This window comes from Homo sapiens, chromosome 15 (genome assembly GCF_000001405.40).
Source record: "Homo sapiens chromosome 15, GRCh38.p14 Primary Assembly".
Lineage (NCBI taxonomy): Eukaryota > Metazoa > Chordata > Mammalia > Primates > Hominidae > Homo > Homo sapiens.
Genome location: NC_000015.10, coordinates 82850659 through 82867826, shown reverse-complemented (window position 1 = coordinate 82867826; position 17168 = coordinate 82850659). Strand labels below are relative to the sequence as shown.

The window sequence follows — 17168 nt, the reverse complement described above, 5'->3', positions numbered from 1 at the left end:
GAGGGCCTTTTTTCCCCCCATATTCTCAATTATTTTGGCAGAATGGTTTCCCAGAAGCAGTATCACTGGGTCAGTAGGTATGAATGTTTTTTTCACTAACAAGACATATTTCCAAATAGTTTCTCAGTGGGGCTGCACCAATACACAACACTACCAGAAATATCTTGCCAGCACAGGGAATCTAATTGTCTTTAGTGTTTGCTCATTTCACAGGCAAACAATGGTACCTCGTTATTTTGATTTACATTTCCAACAAGGCTGAATGGTGTTTTCTATAAGCTGTTACTGCATTTTTTATTCCTGAATTTTGCCATTTATTTACTGGGCTTGTCATACTTTTCAGTTTGTACAAACTCTTGCCATACTAAAGAAAATAGCCCTTTTTCTGTTGTACTAGCTTAGCTATAGATATTTTCCCAAGGCTGTTGTTTCCCTTCTGGTTTAGTTTTTTTTTTTTTTCCTTTTATATTCAAAAGCTTTAAATTATTATGTAGTGAAGTCTGTCACTTTTGTGGGTTTTAAGAAATTTCTTCCAAGTTTAGAAAATTATCCACCCACCTCTCAAGCAGAAGCTTGATACATGCTCAGTTCTGTTTGCATCCAGAATTTTTTTTTCTTCAGAAGCATCCTGATTTTTTAAAGTTTGATTTTCTTTTTCTTGCCCCTTTAACTCATCAATAATTTATCATGCTACAGGTTTGTGGGATTTAAATTCATTTCTCTCAATTTACTAAAGTTATCTCAATTATATGTTGAATAATCTTCCTCATTAATTTCTGTTTCCCCCTTAGTCATAAGCTAATTTTTTATATAAAAGTTGAGGCCCATTTCTCACCTGTTTGTTCTGTTCCATCATGCATCTACTAATACCACACCTTTAAAAATGATTATTTATTTAAAATGTATCTGATAGGGTATATTAGTCCATTTTCACGCTGCTGATAAAGATATACTCAAGACTGGGCAATTTACAAAAGAAACAGGCTTATTGGACTTACAGTTCCACGTGGCTGGGAAGGCCTCACAATCATGGCGGAAGGTGGAGAGCATGTCTCACATGGCAGGAGATGAGAGAAAAGAGCTTATGGGAGGAAACTCTCATTTTTAAAACCATCAGATCTCCTGAGACTTATTCACTATCATAAGAACAGCACAGGAGAGACCCGCCCCGATGATTCAGTTACTCCCACCAGGTTCTTCCCATGACATGTGGGAATTGTGGGAGTTACAATTCAAGATGAGATTTGGTTGGGGACACAGAGTCAAACCATATCTTTCCATCCCCTCCCAAATCTCATGTCATCACATTTCAAAACCAGTCATGCCTTCCCAACAGTCTCCCAAGGTCTTAACTCATTTCAGCATTAACTCAAAAGTCCACAGTCCGGTCTCATCTGAGACAAGGCAAGTCCCTTCTGCCTATGAGCCAGTAAAATAAAAAACAAGTTACTTCCTAGGTACAATGGGGGTAGAGGCATTGGGTAAATACACCTATTCCAAATGGGAGAAATTGACCAAAACAAAGGGGCTACAGGCCCCATGCAAGTCCAAAATCCAGCAGGGCAGTCAAATCTTAAAGTTGCAAAATGATCTCCTTTTAATCCATGTCTCACATCCAGGTCACACTGATGCAAGAGGTGGGCTCCCATGGTCTTGGGCAGCTCTGCTCCTGTGGCTTTGCAGGGTACAGGCTCCCTCCTGGCTGCTTTCACGGGCCGGCATTGAATGTCTGTGGCTTTACCCAGGCACACGGTGCAAACTGTCAGTTGATCTACTATTCTGGGGTCTGGAGGATGGTGGCCCTCTTCTCACAGCTCCACTAGACAGTGCCCCAGTAGGGACTCTGTGGGGGACTTTGACCCCACATTTCCCTTCTGCACTGCCCTAGCAGAGTTCTCCATGAGAGCCCCACCCCTGCAGCAAACTTCTGCCTGGACATACAGACGTTTCCATACATCCTCTGAAATCTAGGCAGAGGTTCCCAAACCTCAATTCTTGACTTCTGTGTACCTGCAGGCCCAACGCCATGTGGAAGCTGCCAAGGCTTTGGGCTTGCACCCTTTGAAGCCATGGCCCGAGCTGTCCCTTGGCCCCTCCTAGTCACAGCTGGAGCTGCTGGGATGCAGGTCACCAAGTCTGTAGACTGCACACAGCATGGGGATCCTGCCAAAGCTCGGGGACACAGCCAAACCATATCATAGGGCTTATCCTATCTCATTATATTTTAAGCTTACTGTCTGAAATTTTCTTTTTGATTCTCACATGTTTGAATGTAAACAAAATCTTTTTCTTAGATACACTTGGAGCTCCTTTGAAGACCAGAACCAAGTCTTTTACATGATTTTTTTTTCCTAAAGTGGACAGGGCTGTGCAAGCCTAAAACTCGTTCATTCACTGAACAAACTTATTTGTACTGTCCCTGCTTTCTGCCAGGTGTGGGAGGAGGGTGCAGAGAGGAAAGATGTGGACCCTGCCACAAAGGAGTTCATGATAATGATGTTTTTCCTTAAGAGGTCCCCAAAAAGAAAAGGTGAGGGAGGCTTTGTGCATCCCTGCTGGACCTCGTGTTTTAAGCAACAGGTAATGTGATTTTCCTCTGCCAGCATTGCAATAGTTAAATATGAAGCCTCCCCAGCTGTGGCTTTACTCACAGGGCCTGCAACACAGGCCAGAACAGAAAGACTGACCTTTACTGCTTACCCTAGGGTGCTGGGTTCACCTACATCTGTTATCTGGCAAGGTTTCCTAAAGTAGACCACTGTTGTCGGCATTGTGAAGATACTCAGAGGATAGCCTGTGCTCAGAAATAAATGAGTTCTCAATAAAACCTGCAGAATTGGTGATAGCCTTGCAACTTGCTAGTTTTTGTTTTGTCTGCAACCATATTTAGCTCTTACTTTGTAATACCACCATTATCACAGGCTATTCTCTGTTCAAACAATGAATTTGCTAATTAAAATTGGCCACCTTGTTAGTGGCAATAAGCTAATGGGTGATATGATTGTCCCAGGACTTGAAGAACTGTTTTATTATGGAACTATTAAGATATTAATAAAAAGTGGAGGGCATAGTATAATGAACACCCATATACACATTACCTAGATTTAACAGTTGTTAACATTTTACCACATTTCTTCATCTCTTTTATTGTTTTTGAAGTACTTTAAACTATAAGCATCAAGACATTTCACTCCTAAATACTTAGTATTCATCTAGAAAAAAATGACACTAAGAGGTTTTGGATCTTTTCGGTATGGATTATGAAGTTTTCCGTGGATTTCTTTTGTGGTATAGCCAAATTTCATTTGCCATTTTTGTATTAGTTTGTTTTTAATACATCATCATCAAACTAGCTTCAGTAGCTTAGATATGGGTTCAGAACTGACCTTGCCCAGTGCTGTTTACTGGAATATACATCCTTATATTCATTTAATAGCAAATAAAATTCTTCTGGATTTATACAGAATGTATGGGCCTAAAATGGATGCAAAATAAATAAAGGTGGGTTCTGAATACCAGCCATGAGTGAGGTTAATAAAAGCCTTAATAACTATTCTTCATGTTCAGTTTGCAGAGAAATTCCAGGAGGTGAAAGAAGCTGCCAAGATAGCCAAAGACAAGACGCAGGAGAAAATCGAGACCTCAAGTAATCATTCCCAAGTAAGACATTAGTCTATGAAGTAAATCCCAGTGGGGTTGGTGATAGGGACTCTTTGTTCCTTGTCACTTCTGGCCAGAAATAGGGAATTTTGACAATAGGTCATTTTGAAGGCTTTTTCAACTATTAGCCTGATCACAGTGACATGTTTTTATGAGACTCTTGAATTTTTTAGGATGTGGTACTGTATTTCTGACAGAAAATGGTTGATGTGATTTGAGTTAATACACATCCTGGCCCAGGAGAGACATTCTGTGGTCACTGTGTTTAAATGCCAGAGGCGAGGCAGCATGTCTCCTGGCTGTGCTGGGAGGTGAGTTTCTGTGTAGGGTACCTTGTGCCCACAAGAGAGAGACTTGATGTCAGACAGCCCTTGTGTTCATCTCCGGTTTTAACAGAGGTCAGGTGGAAGTGGTTATTCCAACAGCTCTGTCTTAACAGAGGAGATCCGGCTTGGCCAGGAATTCAGTAGTCTGTCTAAAGTGTGAAGATTGACTGAAAAGGACCTATTTTAATCTGAAATCAACACACCCACTTTCCTGATGTCTAGATTAGTATATGTGGTGGTGGGGGAAGTCGACCTAGTGACAGGGTTATATGTAGAAAGCCAGGGAAAGGGAGACTTCAGGAGAGAATACTTAGGGGCAGGAGTAAGTGTGATATACTAGCAAGATAGCCAGGAGTCTGCCTGCTGGCAGCTGAGGTGTGCTGTCGGAGGCGTTGAGATGTGCTTGGAGATACTGTGAAGACCTAGAATTCTTCATTACTGGGTAATTTTTTATTTATTAGCTACTTGTTTAATTATTCTTGAGTAGTTGGTGGACGTTGGAAGTGTGTTGTGACTGTTGATTTGGATTTCACCTGAGAGGGTTGGCTTGCTTGCAGATGGTAAGGCAGGCAGGGAGGGACTGAGAGCAGAAAGATTGTCGAGGGGGCTGTGAAGGAGAGAATAGCTGGGCCAGGGAAGCCCGGGGAGGGGGTTGCAAATGAGGACAGGTTGCAGGAAGAGAACCAGGAGGCCTGGGCATCTTGAGCAGTCAAGATCGATGCTCTAGACTTGACCATCAGCCTCACAGGGGCAGTAGCTGCAGTCTCGGGTGCACAAAGAAGCAGTGGAGAGAGGAGGGCAGATGCTGGAGCCCTAGGAAATAGGCCCAGTTATGAAATGGGAGCCAGCAAAGATGACAGGGAGGGAGAAATTCCAGCATCGCTGAGCCCCAGGAGGGAGTATGCCCAATATGTCGGTGCTCAGAGAGGAGGGGAGAGAATGCTGACAGGGACCCTGGGTTTGTCAGTGCTGTGGCCGACCCTTGGGACAGGAGATTTGGTGTGGCTCAGGATGTTTCACAAAGGCAGAACCTATGTCTGCCTTGAGTTGTCTTTCCAATACCTTGTTCTGGCCTCATCATATAAAATATGCCCACATGGACCTATGGAAATGCATGTGAATTCGATTTCAGGTAGACAGGAACTTTCCTGAATCTTTCTAAATAATCTTTAATATGATTCAGTGATACCATTAATTTTGTATGCTAATTACTTGATTAATCTCTGAGGACCTATGAAATTCAGCATCTGAAATTGTCCATGGTCTAGAAAGTTTCTAATATACTATCTTTTTCAGAATACCGCATAGTACAGTGATATATTTAAGTTTAATATCTGAATTTCTCCAGATAAGATTTTGTTTTAATATTTACCCCCTCTCAAAAGTTTATTTATTTGAGACGGGGTCTTGCTGTGCTGCCCCTGGGCTCGAGTAGTCTTCCTGCCTTGGCCTCCCAGGTAGCTGGGATTACAGGCATAAGCTAAGTATTTTAAACCTTAAAAATACATGTATACCTAATAAGATGTTATTTAACGTATATGTATTATTTAGGAATGACTTTTTGTTTCTAATCTTTAGCAGTATTTATCCTTCCTGATAGTTCCCCAGGTATAGAGGTTATTGTATGTATTTTTTTAAGGCTGGGTACAGCGGCTCACACCTGTAATCTCAGCACTTTGGGAAGCCGAGGCCAGTGGATCACCTGAGCTCATGAGTTCGAGACCAGCCTGGGAATATGGCGAAACCCCATCTCTATTAAAAAAAAAAAAAGAGAGAGAAAGACTATTTTTGTTTTTGTTTTTAAGACAGAGACTCAATCTGTTGCCCAGGCTGGAGTGCAGTGGCGCGATCTCAGCTTGCTGCAACCTCTGCTCACTGCAACCTCTGCTCACTGCAACCTCTGCCTCCCAAGTTCAAGGGATTCTCCTGCCTCAGCCTCTCTAACTGGGATTACAAGCATGCGCCACCACACCCGACTAATTTTTTTGTATCTTTAGTAGAGATGTGGTTTCACCATGTTGGCTCAGGCTGATCTCAAGCTTCTGATATCAGGCGATCTGCCTGCCTCGGCCTCCCATAGTGCTGGGATTACAGGTGTGAGCCACTGCACCCGGCCCTTGTATGCTTTTTAAAATTAGTAATCACACAATTACTTGGTTTCCTGAATCTCTTAGAGTATGAACACTTTGATTAAGTTTTCAAAATAGTTGGATTTTTAAGCAGCCTAATTACAAAAACACTTAAAATGTGGGGCTGTTTTGTGACTATAAATGCAATACATGTTTATTGTATAAAGGAAAAATATACCATACTATAAAGAAGGAAATAAAAATCATCTACCTTCTCACCACTTGAAGATATTTTATTAGTGTTTTGGTGTGTATCTTTCTAACATACTTTTCCAGGATATATTTTATATTATACCTTTTAACTTTATGTCATGATTATTCCTTTTCAAAACTGTTTTAATGACTGGACAGCATTCTAGTGTTGGTATCACAGCTTATTTGGTTAACCTATAATTTGTGACATCTGCATTTCTAAAATTTCACTAATATAAATAACACTGTGATGAATGTTCTTGCATGTCTTTGTGCATTTGGTGGTTTCTGCATAACTTCTTGAAATGGAGATATTGGGTTAAAGGTATGGATGTTCTTAAAGCTTGTGATGCATACCACAAACTTAGCCTGCAGAAATACACCATTCTAACTCCCACCTGCAGTGAATAAGGCTTTTTCTTACCACACCCTCATCAGCAAAGCTTTGTTAATTTGACAGATGAAAAGTCTTTCTTTTCTTTTCTCTTCTCTTTTTTTCTTTTGTTTTCTTTTCTTTCTTTCCTTTCTCTTTCGCTTTCTCTCTCTCTCTCTCTCTCTCTCTCATCTTCTATCTTCTATCTTTGAGACAGAGTCTCACTGTGTCATCTAGGCTGGAGTGCAGTGGCGTGATCTCGGCTCACTGCAACCTCTGCCACCCAGGTTCAAGGGATCCTCCTGCCTCAGCTTCCCCATTAGCTGGGATTACAGGCGCCTGCCACCATGTCTGGCTAATTTTTGTAATTTTAGTAGAGACAGGGTTTCACCATATTGGCCAGGCAGGTCTTGAACTCTTGACCTCAAGTGATCTGCCTACCTTGGCCTCCCAAAGTGCTGGGATTACAGGTGTGAGCCACCACACCTGGCCTTCATTTTGTACTTCTTTACTAGTGAGATTAAATATTTTTATGTTTATCGATTGTATGCTTTTCTTCTTTTGTGAATATCAATTACCTACCCCTTTTTAAGTTAAGGTGTTAATCTTTTGTATTGATTTTCAAGAGCTTTATTTTTAAACACAAAAAAATGTGAACATATGCAAATCTAGGCATAATTGTATAATGGACCTTCCTGTACCCATAGGTCAGCTTTAACAGTTAGGAAATTATGACCAATTGTTTAATCTGTGCACCTACTCATTTGCTCCCCCCCACCATATTTTAAAGCAAATGCCAGATGTTTCATTTCATCCGTAAATATTTCAGCATGTAGCTCTAAAAGATGAGGACTCTAAGAGCTTGTCAATATAGGAAAGATACTAATATTTTTTTCCTTTTTTTTATTTTGAGTTGGAGTTTCCCTCTTGTTGCCCAGGCTGGAGTGCAGTGGCACGATCTCAGCTCACTGCAACCTCCGCCTCCCGGGTCCTGCCTCAGCCTCCCGAGCAGCTGTGATTACAGGTGCATGCCACCACGCCTGACTAACTTTTGTATTTTTAGTAGAGACAGGGTTTCACTATGTTGGCCAGGCTGGTGTCAAACTCCTGGCCTCAGGTGATCTGCCCGCCTCAGCCTCCCAAAGTGCTGGGATTACAGGTGTGAGCCACCGCGCCCGGCCGACATTTTGTTTTTCATATGTACTGCTGTATATATTCCCATCCCCTCCCCACCCCCCGGGTTTTTGTCTCATTTTAATTTTGTTTATGGTGTTTTTTTTGAAATTCAGAAATTGAAACTTGGATTTATACACCATTCTCTTCTAGTTTCTTCCTTTGCCCATGTACTTATTTGAGGCTAAATAAGATCTTTCTAAGGTCTTATCTAGCACCAGATGAGATTTCACCTCTACGTGGTATGACTTACGGAAAACACTTGAACATATTCATAACAGCACTAAGTAGTAAGGGAGTGGGCAAACAACAGGACCTGGTTCTTGTCTCTTTAATGAATGTGTTGATCTAACTCTCCATAGCCCCAAGATATTTAAGTTGTCTCCTTTTCTAATATGTGCTTTTTCATTCCTTGTTTCTAAGAGTCCCTCCTCCCTTGTGGCTTCTGCCCTGTGGTATTTCAGGAGACCAGGTCTCCCAAGTTTGGTGGGTTTCTCCATAAGGCGTAAGTAAAAAGGCTCTGAGCACTGGCCCAGGTGTTCCCTTGTCAGTAAAGCACACAGACTTTATGAACTCCACATGGTCTCTTCAGTGCCTTTTTCTTTGGTCATGATAGTCTTTGTTAGGTTTTGTTTTCTTTTTTGTTTGTTTGTTTGTTTAAAAAAAAAACAAAAACTTGTTAGTCTTTGCTGCATTCTGGTTGGATGAGTTGGTTCGTCCACACTCGTAAAGTTTCTTATTATGCCTAACTTGCTGCCGATGTGCAGACAAGCAATAACGTGTGAAGATAATTCACTTTGGCCAGGAATCTGGGCGTGAAACCCCATCTTCTACTCAGGCATCCAGTGTCAACGGGACGGACGATGAAAAGGCCTCTCACGCCGGTCCAGCCAACACACACCTGAAGTCTGAGAATGACAAGCTGAAGATTGCCTTGACGCAGAGGTAAGGCTGTTTTAAAGTCCAGATTCTATTTTCTCCACCTTCAGCACTTCCCTAGAAGCCTTTCTTGCTGGACAGGGTTTCAGGAAATTGGGAGAGAAAACTGGGACCTGCTTAGAGCATCCACTCTTGTCTCCTGGTGAAAGGAAGGCCAGCTGGCTTCATGGCCCTGCTCTGGCCAACCACATCAGCATCCATTTGTGTGTGTGTGGGAAATAGAGAGTGTGTGTGTGTGAGAGAGAGATATTGTGAGTATGTAAATGTGTGGAGAGAGGGCAAATGTGCATGAGTGTGGTAGTGTCAGAGTGTGTGTGATTGAGTGTACATGTGTGGAGAGAGGGTGTGTGTGTGTGTGTGAATGCACCCCTGTGCTTGTGCTTTGTTTTGTTTTTGAGGAGGCAAATTTATCATTTATTTATCTATAACATTGACTCTTGGCCAAGCATGGTGGCTCCTGCCTGTAATCCCAACATTTTGGAAGGCCAAGGCAGGCGGATCACTTGAGCCTAGGAGTTTGAGACCAGCCTGGGTAACATGATGAAATCCTGTCTCTAGAAAAAATATTTTAAAAACTAGCCAGCTATGGTGGTGTTTACCTGTAGTCCCAGCTACTCTGGTGGCTCAGTTGGGAGGATTGCTTGAGCCTGGGAGGTGGCAGAGGCTGCAGTGAGCTGAGATTGCACCACCACACTCCAGCTTGGATGACAGAGTGAGACTCTTGTCTCAAAAAAAAGAAAAAAAAAAGAATTTTGAACATCTGAGAAACGCATGTGAAAACATAAACTATTAAAATATGAAATCACACAAAACTCAGTCACCTATATACAAAAAAGTCATGTGGAATATATATTTGAAGAAGAGATCCTTTACAGTATGAACTAGAACCATAAACTACATAGAAATAAACTTAAATATACAAGATCTATGTGAAGCAAACTTTAAAATGATTTCAAGGTTTATAAAATAATTGTTTAATAAATAGCCATTCTGTTGGGAAGTGGCAAAAAGCCTTGATATTTTAAAAGTATCAGTTTCTCCTAAATTGATCTATAAATGTAACACAATCCCCATAATGATATCAGTAAGATTTTAATTTACTGCATGAGCGGTGCTTATGATTTTGTATCTTGAGAATGTGGAGCATTCCCCACAGGCTGGGCTGAGCTTCGTGGTTTAGGGCGGTCCCATGAGCACACTCAGGGCTTTCTGCTGGCCAGGGGTAGGGGTTCAGCAGGCTTTCCCCAGTCTCCCTCAGACCGAGAAGCCCCCCTCCTCAGAGTTGCCCATTTAAGATCTGTATTGGCTGGGCGTGGTGGCACATGCCTGTAATCCCAATGCTTTGGGAGGCCGAGGTGGCTGGATCACTTGAGGTCAGGAGTTCGAGACCAGCCTGGGCAACACGGTGAAACCCCATCTCTACTAAAAATACAAAAATTGGCCGGGCACGGTGATACATGCCTGTAATCCCAGCTACTCAGGAGGCTGAGGCAGGAGAATTACTTGAACCCGGGAGGCGGAGGTTGCAGTGAGCCAAGATCACGCCACTGCACTCCAGCCGGGTCGACAGAGCAAGACTCTGTCTCAAAAAAAAAAAAAAAAAAAAAAAAAAGCTGTATCATCTTAGAAGCTGTCTTAGCTCAGGCTGCTATAACAAAATACCACAAACTGGGTGGCTTAAACAACAAACCTTTACTTCTCACAGTTCTGGAGGCTAGAAAGTCCAAGATTAAGGCACTGGCAGATTTGGTGTCTGGTGAGGGCCTGCTTCCTGGTTCATAGACCACAGTCTTCTCCCTGTGTCTTCACAGGTGGGGAGAGGAGGTGAGCTCTCTGAGGACTCTTGTAAAGACCTGGATCCCATTCATAAAGATTTCATCCTCACGCCCTCACCTAATCCTAGTTACCTCTCAACACCCGCCCCCCCGCCTCCTAAGACCATCACATTAGGGGTAGGGTTTCAACGTATGAATTTAGGGAGGTCTCAAGCATTGGGTCCATAAGAGAAGCTGTCATTTTGAACTTCCCCCCATTTTACAGATGAGGAAACTGAATTCCAAGTGACAAAGTGACTCCTTGCCCAAGGTCACATGGCTAGTAAACCTTCCATCACCTCACATGGCCCGTGTTCCACTCAAGGCTGCACTCACAGTCTCTTCAGGAGCCTACCAGAGGCAGCCTGTCCCCTTCCACAGCCAGAGCCGCCACAGAGTTGGCCCCCAGCTCTCCAACTCAGCTGGCCCGGCTGTGATCTGACCTAGGAATTCCAGAAAGCACATGTGACCCTTAGATCCAACCCCCTGCCTTTGGACTGTGACTCTTTGTCAGGTACTTCAAAGGACAGAACTGTGACCAGTCTCTTTTCTTACTCATCAGACAATTGTGAGAGCTTTATTTATTTATTTATTTATTTGTTTTTTGAGGCAGAGTCTCTGTGATCCCAGCTGTAGTGCAGTGGTGTCATCATAGCTTACTACAGCCTTGAACTCCTGGGCTCGACTGATCCCCCCGCCTCAGCCTCCCAAGTAGCTGGGACCACAGGTGCACGCTACCACACCTGGCTGATTTTTATTTTTATTTTTGTAGAGATGAGGTCTTGCTATGTTGCCCAGGCTGGTCCCAAACTCCTGGGCTTATCAAGTTATCCTCCCTTCTTGGCCTCCCAAAGTGCTGGGATTATAGGTGTGAGCCACCACACCCAACTGAGAGCTGTTTTTGGTTGTTTAAGTCACAGTGGGCTGCCTGGGTGAAAATGTTTCACCCCTAAAAATAAATGTTTTCAAATCTGAGTTTAATGAGCAAGTGAGGTACTACAAGAATGGGCAGGAAGCTATTTCCCTAAATTAGCTTAAATTGTCAGTCATCAACTCTAGAATTCACCAGATAATAACATTTTATTATTTCTTCAGTCAGTGGTGTTTGAAAGTGAAAGTACATATTTTCCAAGTCCTCGAGGTCCTTGAGGTTGTGGGATAAAAGATAACACAGATCTATTCAGACACACCATTGTATTTACTTAAAAAAATTAGGAAGAGCCTTTAGAAAGAGGACTTAGCCAGGCGGAAACCTCCCCATGGGCTTGTCACGTGCAGCTCTGCCCTGTCACCTCCAGTCACATTCAGCGCCACAGATGTGTGGGCTCCTAGCAAGGAAATTGAAGGAGGGTCAGAAGAGAACAATGAGGGGAACCTGATTCCAGTTTGGTTTTGTTTTAAACGTCCTCCTCACCAAGCATGTAGAATCAGATGAAACATGAGGCCTTTGTGGTGACAGCAGAGGTGTCCCTCAGATTCCTGGTCTCCTCACACCCCGGGGGGATATGGGCCAGCCAGAGCTCCCTCCAGACCCCTGTTGTGCCCCCAGGGCACTGATTCCTGGTCACTCTCTCCTGTCTCCAAGCCCTAGGCCCTCAGATCTGGATTCCTTCAAAGGCTCTGAGAAGGCACAGGTTACAGTGGGACCATTATTCCCCGGAGCCAAGCTGTTGGCTTCTTGCTTGTTTAAACCCAGCGTCCTGGAGGTCCGTCCATGGCTTTCATACGATTCTTGAAGGTCACCCGGTCCACCCATGAAACTCCTTTCAGGAGGAAGCAGGGCGGCCAGTAAGGAGGATGGGATGGGCCTTGCCCGCCCTGCAGCCCTCATGCCTAGCTTTGTCTCTTCATTCGTGAAGAATTGTGTTTTCTTTTTTTTTTTTTTTTTTTTTTTTGGAGATGGAGTCTCGCTCTGTCGCCAGGCCGGAGTGCAGTGGCGTGATCTCGGCTCACTGCAACCTCCACCTCCTGGGTTCAAGCGATTCTTCTGCCTCAGCCTCCTGAGTAGCTGAGACTGCAGGCGCCCGCCACCATTTTTTTGTATTTTTAGTAGAGACAGGTTTTCACCATGTTGGCCAGGATGGTCTCGATTTCTTGACCTAGTGATCCGCCCGCCTCGGCCTCCCAAAGTGTTAGGATTACAGGCATGAGCCACTGCGTCCGGCCCAAGAATTGTGTTCTCTTCTAAGGTGATTCTTTAAGAAGATAGACCACAGGATGACATGTTCACACCAGAGAGAGGGGCCAGTCCCTCCTGGCCCTGGATCAGGGTAGCCAGACCCACCTGCCAGCTTACTGTGGGGAGAGGGCGTGGGCCCCCCAGGGGTGTGCTGAGGGATGGCGGAGTCCCCTTCCCCACGCGGGCGGAGCCAGACGGGACAGCACCCACCCCGTCGTCACCGCCCGTCCCTGTCCTGCAGCGCAGCCAACGTGAAGAAGTGGGAGATCGAGCTGCAGACCCTTCGGGAGAGCAATGCACGGCTGACCACAGCACTGCAGGAGTCGGCAGCCAGTGTGGAGCAGTGGAAGAGGCAGTTCTCCATCTGCCGTGATGAGAATGACCGGCTCCGCAACAAGGTGGGTACGGTGGATGCAGTGAGCCCCGAGGCCAGCTGGTGTGGGCAGTGGGAGATGGGGGCACCCACAACCCTTTTTCTCCCTCCCCAACTTTGCCCTTATCCCCATGGCCAGAGGAAGACTTGCTGCCTCTCCCATGGGAACGTCCCTCCCCCTCCCTGCCTTTCTTAGTAGGAATTTAACCACGTACATAATTGACTCATTACCTTTTCTGGTTTTATTTTCTTTCTTTTTTTTTGAGATGGAGTCTCGCTCTGTCACCCAGGCTGGAGTGCAGTGGCACGATCTCAGTGCACTGCAGCCTCCTGTCTCCCAGGTTCAAGTGATTCTCTTGCCTCAGCCTCCGAAGTAGCTGGGATTAGAGGCGCCTGCCACCATGCCTGGCTAATTTTTGTATTTTTAGTAGAGACAGGGTTTCACCAAGTTGGCCAGGCTGGTCTCAAACTCCTGGCCTCAGGTGATACACCCGCCTCAGCCTCCTGAAGTGCCAGGATTACAGGCGTGAACCACTGTGCCTGGCCAGACTCGTTACCTTTTCTGAACCAAGTTTTATAATTCCTCTTACTGAGGAGAAGATAAACTGGAGGTGTCAGCCCTGTCTCTCTCAGAGTGCCCTCCCTCAGCATTTCTGTGGTTCAGTGACCCTCCGTGGAGGAAGGGGACCCAGAGGGTAGGTGAGAAACAGACTTGGGAGATGGTGAGTTGCGCCTGCTTGGAAGTCCTGCTTCCATTCACATTATTGTTTCTAAACATGTAAATTTGGAGTTGAGAAAAGGATTATGGTGCTTGAGGCGTGAGGAGGGTAAACAGGTGCTGACCTGTTGTACGCCCTCTACTCTCCGACCTTGACATCCTGGCATTTTGATTTGTTTGAAAATGCACCTGTAACCTTCCCTGTCATTAGTCACACTCTAGTTCATAAGGTGCTTTTGGGGTGGCCAGAGACCCCCCATTGAGGTCTTGAGGTTTCTCTGCTAACCTTGTTTTGATCATGGTTAATCCTCCCACTAGAAACACATAGGCTTTGGAGTATGCTCCGTCAGTGCAGGGTTTTAGGGGGACAGGTCCCATTTAGATTGGTGTTCACTCCCCCTTGACCCCCTTTTCTCCCCTGCCCTGCCCGACCTGGAGGGCCCCTGCATCCCAGCCCTCTGTCACACTGTCTTACTTTCATGCTAATGCCACATAAAAGTGTCTCGTGTCATTTTTTCATCTTGGTGCTGACGGTTGGGCACCAGGCCAATTGCTGACTTTGCACGTTCCCACCCGAGGCCTGGCAGATCTGCCTGCCAGAGGGATCGATTGCCCTTTCTTGCATTTTCAAGAAAAGAGCTGAGTTTCTCACTTTGGTCTCAGTCTGATAGCCAGCAGCAGTGCGGGGGGAGTGGAGGAAGAGCATCACGCACAACTCGCTCCCTTGGAGGCGTGTCGACCTCCCTGAGTCGACATCTCACAAGCTTGCCTCCCAGGGTTGGAGGCGGAAGTTGGTGTGGTTTCCAGCAGCAGCAGGGGCTGGGAGTTCAGACCCCAAGGCTTGGTGCAGCCTGCCTCTGGGAAGTGTCCTCGGTGCCCTTCATGTCAAGGACTGCTGCTGCCTGTTCGGGGGGACTTCACTACAGTGCTTTTGTGTTGCATGTGGGGTCCACGCCTGCTGTCCACTCTGCACACACATTTTGGCCCCCAGCATTCAATGGCAGTGTGAGAGTGCCAAGCCCTTGCACCCCTGTTCCACACAGGTAACTGTTTTGAGGGGTCAGCCTTGGAAAGGGAAAGATGCGGTGTAGGGATTTGCCATTCAGCCTTGGGGAAGAGGCCCACAGGCCAGGCCCCTTCCACGTGCATTCCCAGGGGAAGGTCACCTTGATTTATAATATTCGAAATGTCATTGCTTCCCTTTTCGGCAGCCACTGTACCATGAGGTTGCTTGATTTTTCTACCCTGCTGGCTTAAACCCTTGAGATGAAACAGAATAATGCAGGACGTGATTACAGTGGTGTAACAGTCATTCTGGAGAAAAGCAGATCAATTCAGGGGACACTTGGCCCTTGCTTGTGATGGATCCTTAAAGCAAATCTGAATCTACTTCTTCACGGCCATGAGAGGAAACCAGAAGCCCAGAGCATCTTGAAGGCAGGCTTTATTACTTATTTGGCTCTGCTGGTAAGATGCCTCTGGTAAGGCATCATGTGCAAAGCAGGTCCCATGCAAGCGGTGCAGGCAGCCCCATGATGGAGCTGCATGGGGTTTGTTCATAGCCACAAAGAAAATCTTATAAGTGGATTAGTTTAGGGTTTATTTTAAAAGAAAAGAGAAGCATAGCTGTGGTGATCTCTTGCTTAATGACTAATGTTAAGCTGGCGTCCCTGCTTTCCTGTGTGGTGTGTATTGAAGATTGATGAGCTGGAAGAACAATGCAGTGAGATCAACAGAGAGAAGGAGAAGAACACGCAGCTGAAGAGGAGGATCGAGGAGCTGGAGGCAGAGCTCCGAGAAAAGGAGACAGTGAGTAATGGTGCTCCGAGCAGGGCCCCTTGGCGTCCTCTTGGCCTTGCGGGGTGGCACACAGCAGGTGTCTTGGGGCCTATGACTGGCCCTGGCAGCTGCCTGGATAGCAGCACGGAGAGAGAGCTGGGAGCCACAGCAAGGTGCAGACAGGCTGGAGCAAAGGCCTCCCCATGACCTCTGCCGCCTCCCTGTTACCCCTGTTCTATAGCTGGTCGTGCAGATCCACAAGGGAGCTGAACATTTCACAAGACACTCAGATGCGTTTGTCATCTGTCCTCAGAAGTTGAGTTTTGCTGCCAAATTAATGCCGCTAGAGACCCATGATGTAACCACTTATTTTCTTTTTTAAAAAAATTTAAAATGTATTTATTTTATTTAAGATGGAGTCTCATTATGTTGCCCAGGCTGGTCTTGAACTGGGCTGAAGCATTCCGCCCACCTCAGCCTCCTGTGTAGCTGGGACTATAGACACACGCCATGAGAGCACCACACACACGTGCCCACCACACCGCAGCCCAGCTCCCGGCGCCAGCCACCTGCACTCACTGCCACCATGCCTGGCCTACAGTCATTTATTTTCTAGGGGGCAGACAGTTAAGTGCACACATGTTGGAGGCCGTGCTCATGTTACCAAACTCCCTAGGCCTCACTTTCTCCACTTATAAAACAGAAATCGGAAAAACATCTGCCTTGTGGTGGTGTGTACAGACTTCACGTGACAAGGCGTGTGACACACTTCACCCTTGAAATTCCCTGAGATGAAGTATTCGCATGGTCACTATCACTGTCTATGCAAACAGGACAGGGTCCCAAAGCTGCTTCCACGAGCGTGCACACATTGGTGATTTTCAAGAATATATTTTATCTGACTTGCTTTCATGTTCTATCTCAAATTTTTTTCATGTAGGAGCTGAAAGATCTCCGAAAACAAAGTGAAATCATACCTCAGCTCATGTCAGAGTGCGAATATGTCTCTGAGAAGCTAGAGGTACGTGGGTTGGGGGCACAGCCATCCTGGCTCAGACAAGAAGGCACAAATGTCATGGTACTCATTTTCCTGCTTCCTATCACTTTCACACTGAGAATGCTGAAGGAGAGATTTTCTATTCACAAAAAGCTGGCAGTGACTGCACGCCAGATGGCACCGCATCCACCCCTGCCCCCGGGGCAGACTCAGCAACGTTTGTCTTTTGGTTTTGCAAGTTCTATGAAGGCCCCTGTGCATCACCACAGTGTAGACGACTGTTTCCTTGCAGATCCCTGGTGGGGGTGAGGAGCGGGGGGGCGGCCTGAGAGCCCAGGGTCAGGGTGTGGGGCCACTTCAGCCACTCCCCTGCCAGTGGCCTTGGGCACTGACCTTGGGCAGGCCTTCCTCCCTATCCTCAGATTTCTGATCACTAAAATGAGGATTTTCAGGGCTTCCTCCACCTCGGAGCGCCTCTTCCCTGCAGGTCCTCTGATATGCACACGGCGCTTCATG

At 45.7% G+C, this 17168-nt stretch overlaps 1 protein-coding gene across 15 annotated transcripts in view; it reads left to right on the top strand.

The window, feature by feature from the left end:
• Positions 1-17168, top strand: part of HOMER2 (homer scaffold protein 2) — a 151497-nt gene that overhangs the window by 118331 nt on the left and 15998 nt on the right. For 9 of the 15 annotated variants that reach the window (XM_011522232.3, XM_047433360.1, XM_047433355.1 and 6 more), the window contains 5 exons: positions 3568-3660; positions 8659-8798; positions 13027-13183; positions 15575-15685; positions 16596-16676. In XM_011522232.3, the coding sequence (XP_011520534.1) occupies positions 3568-3660; positions 8659-8798; positions 13027-13183; positions 15575-15685; positions 16596-16676 (582 nt within the window). The remainder of the gene's footprint in view (positions 1-3567; positions 3661-8658; positions 8799-13026; positions 13184-15574; positions 15686-16595; positions 16677-17168) is intronic. The other 6 variants (XM_047433359.1, XM_047433356.1, XM_047433358.1 and 3 more) reach the window with 1 other exon arrangement.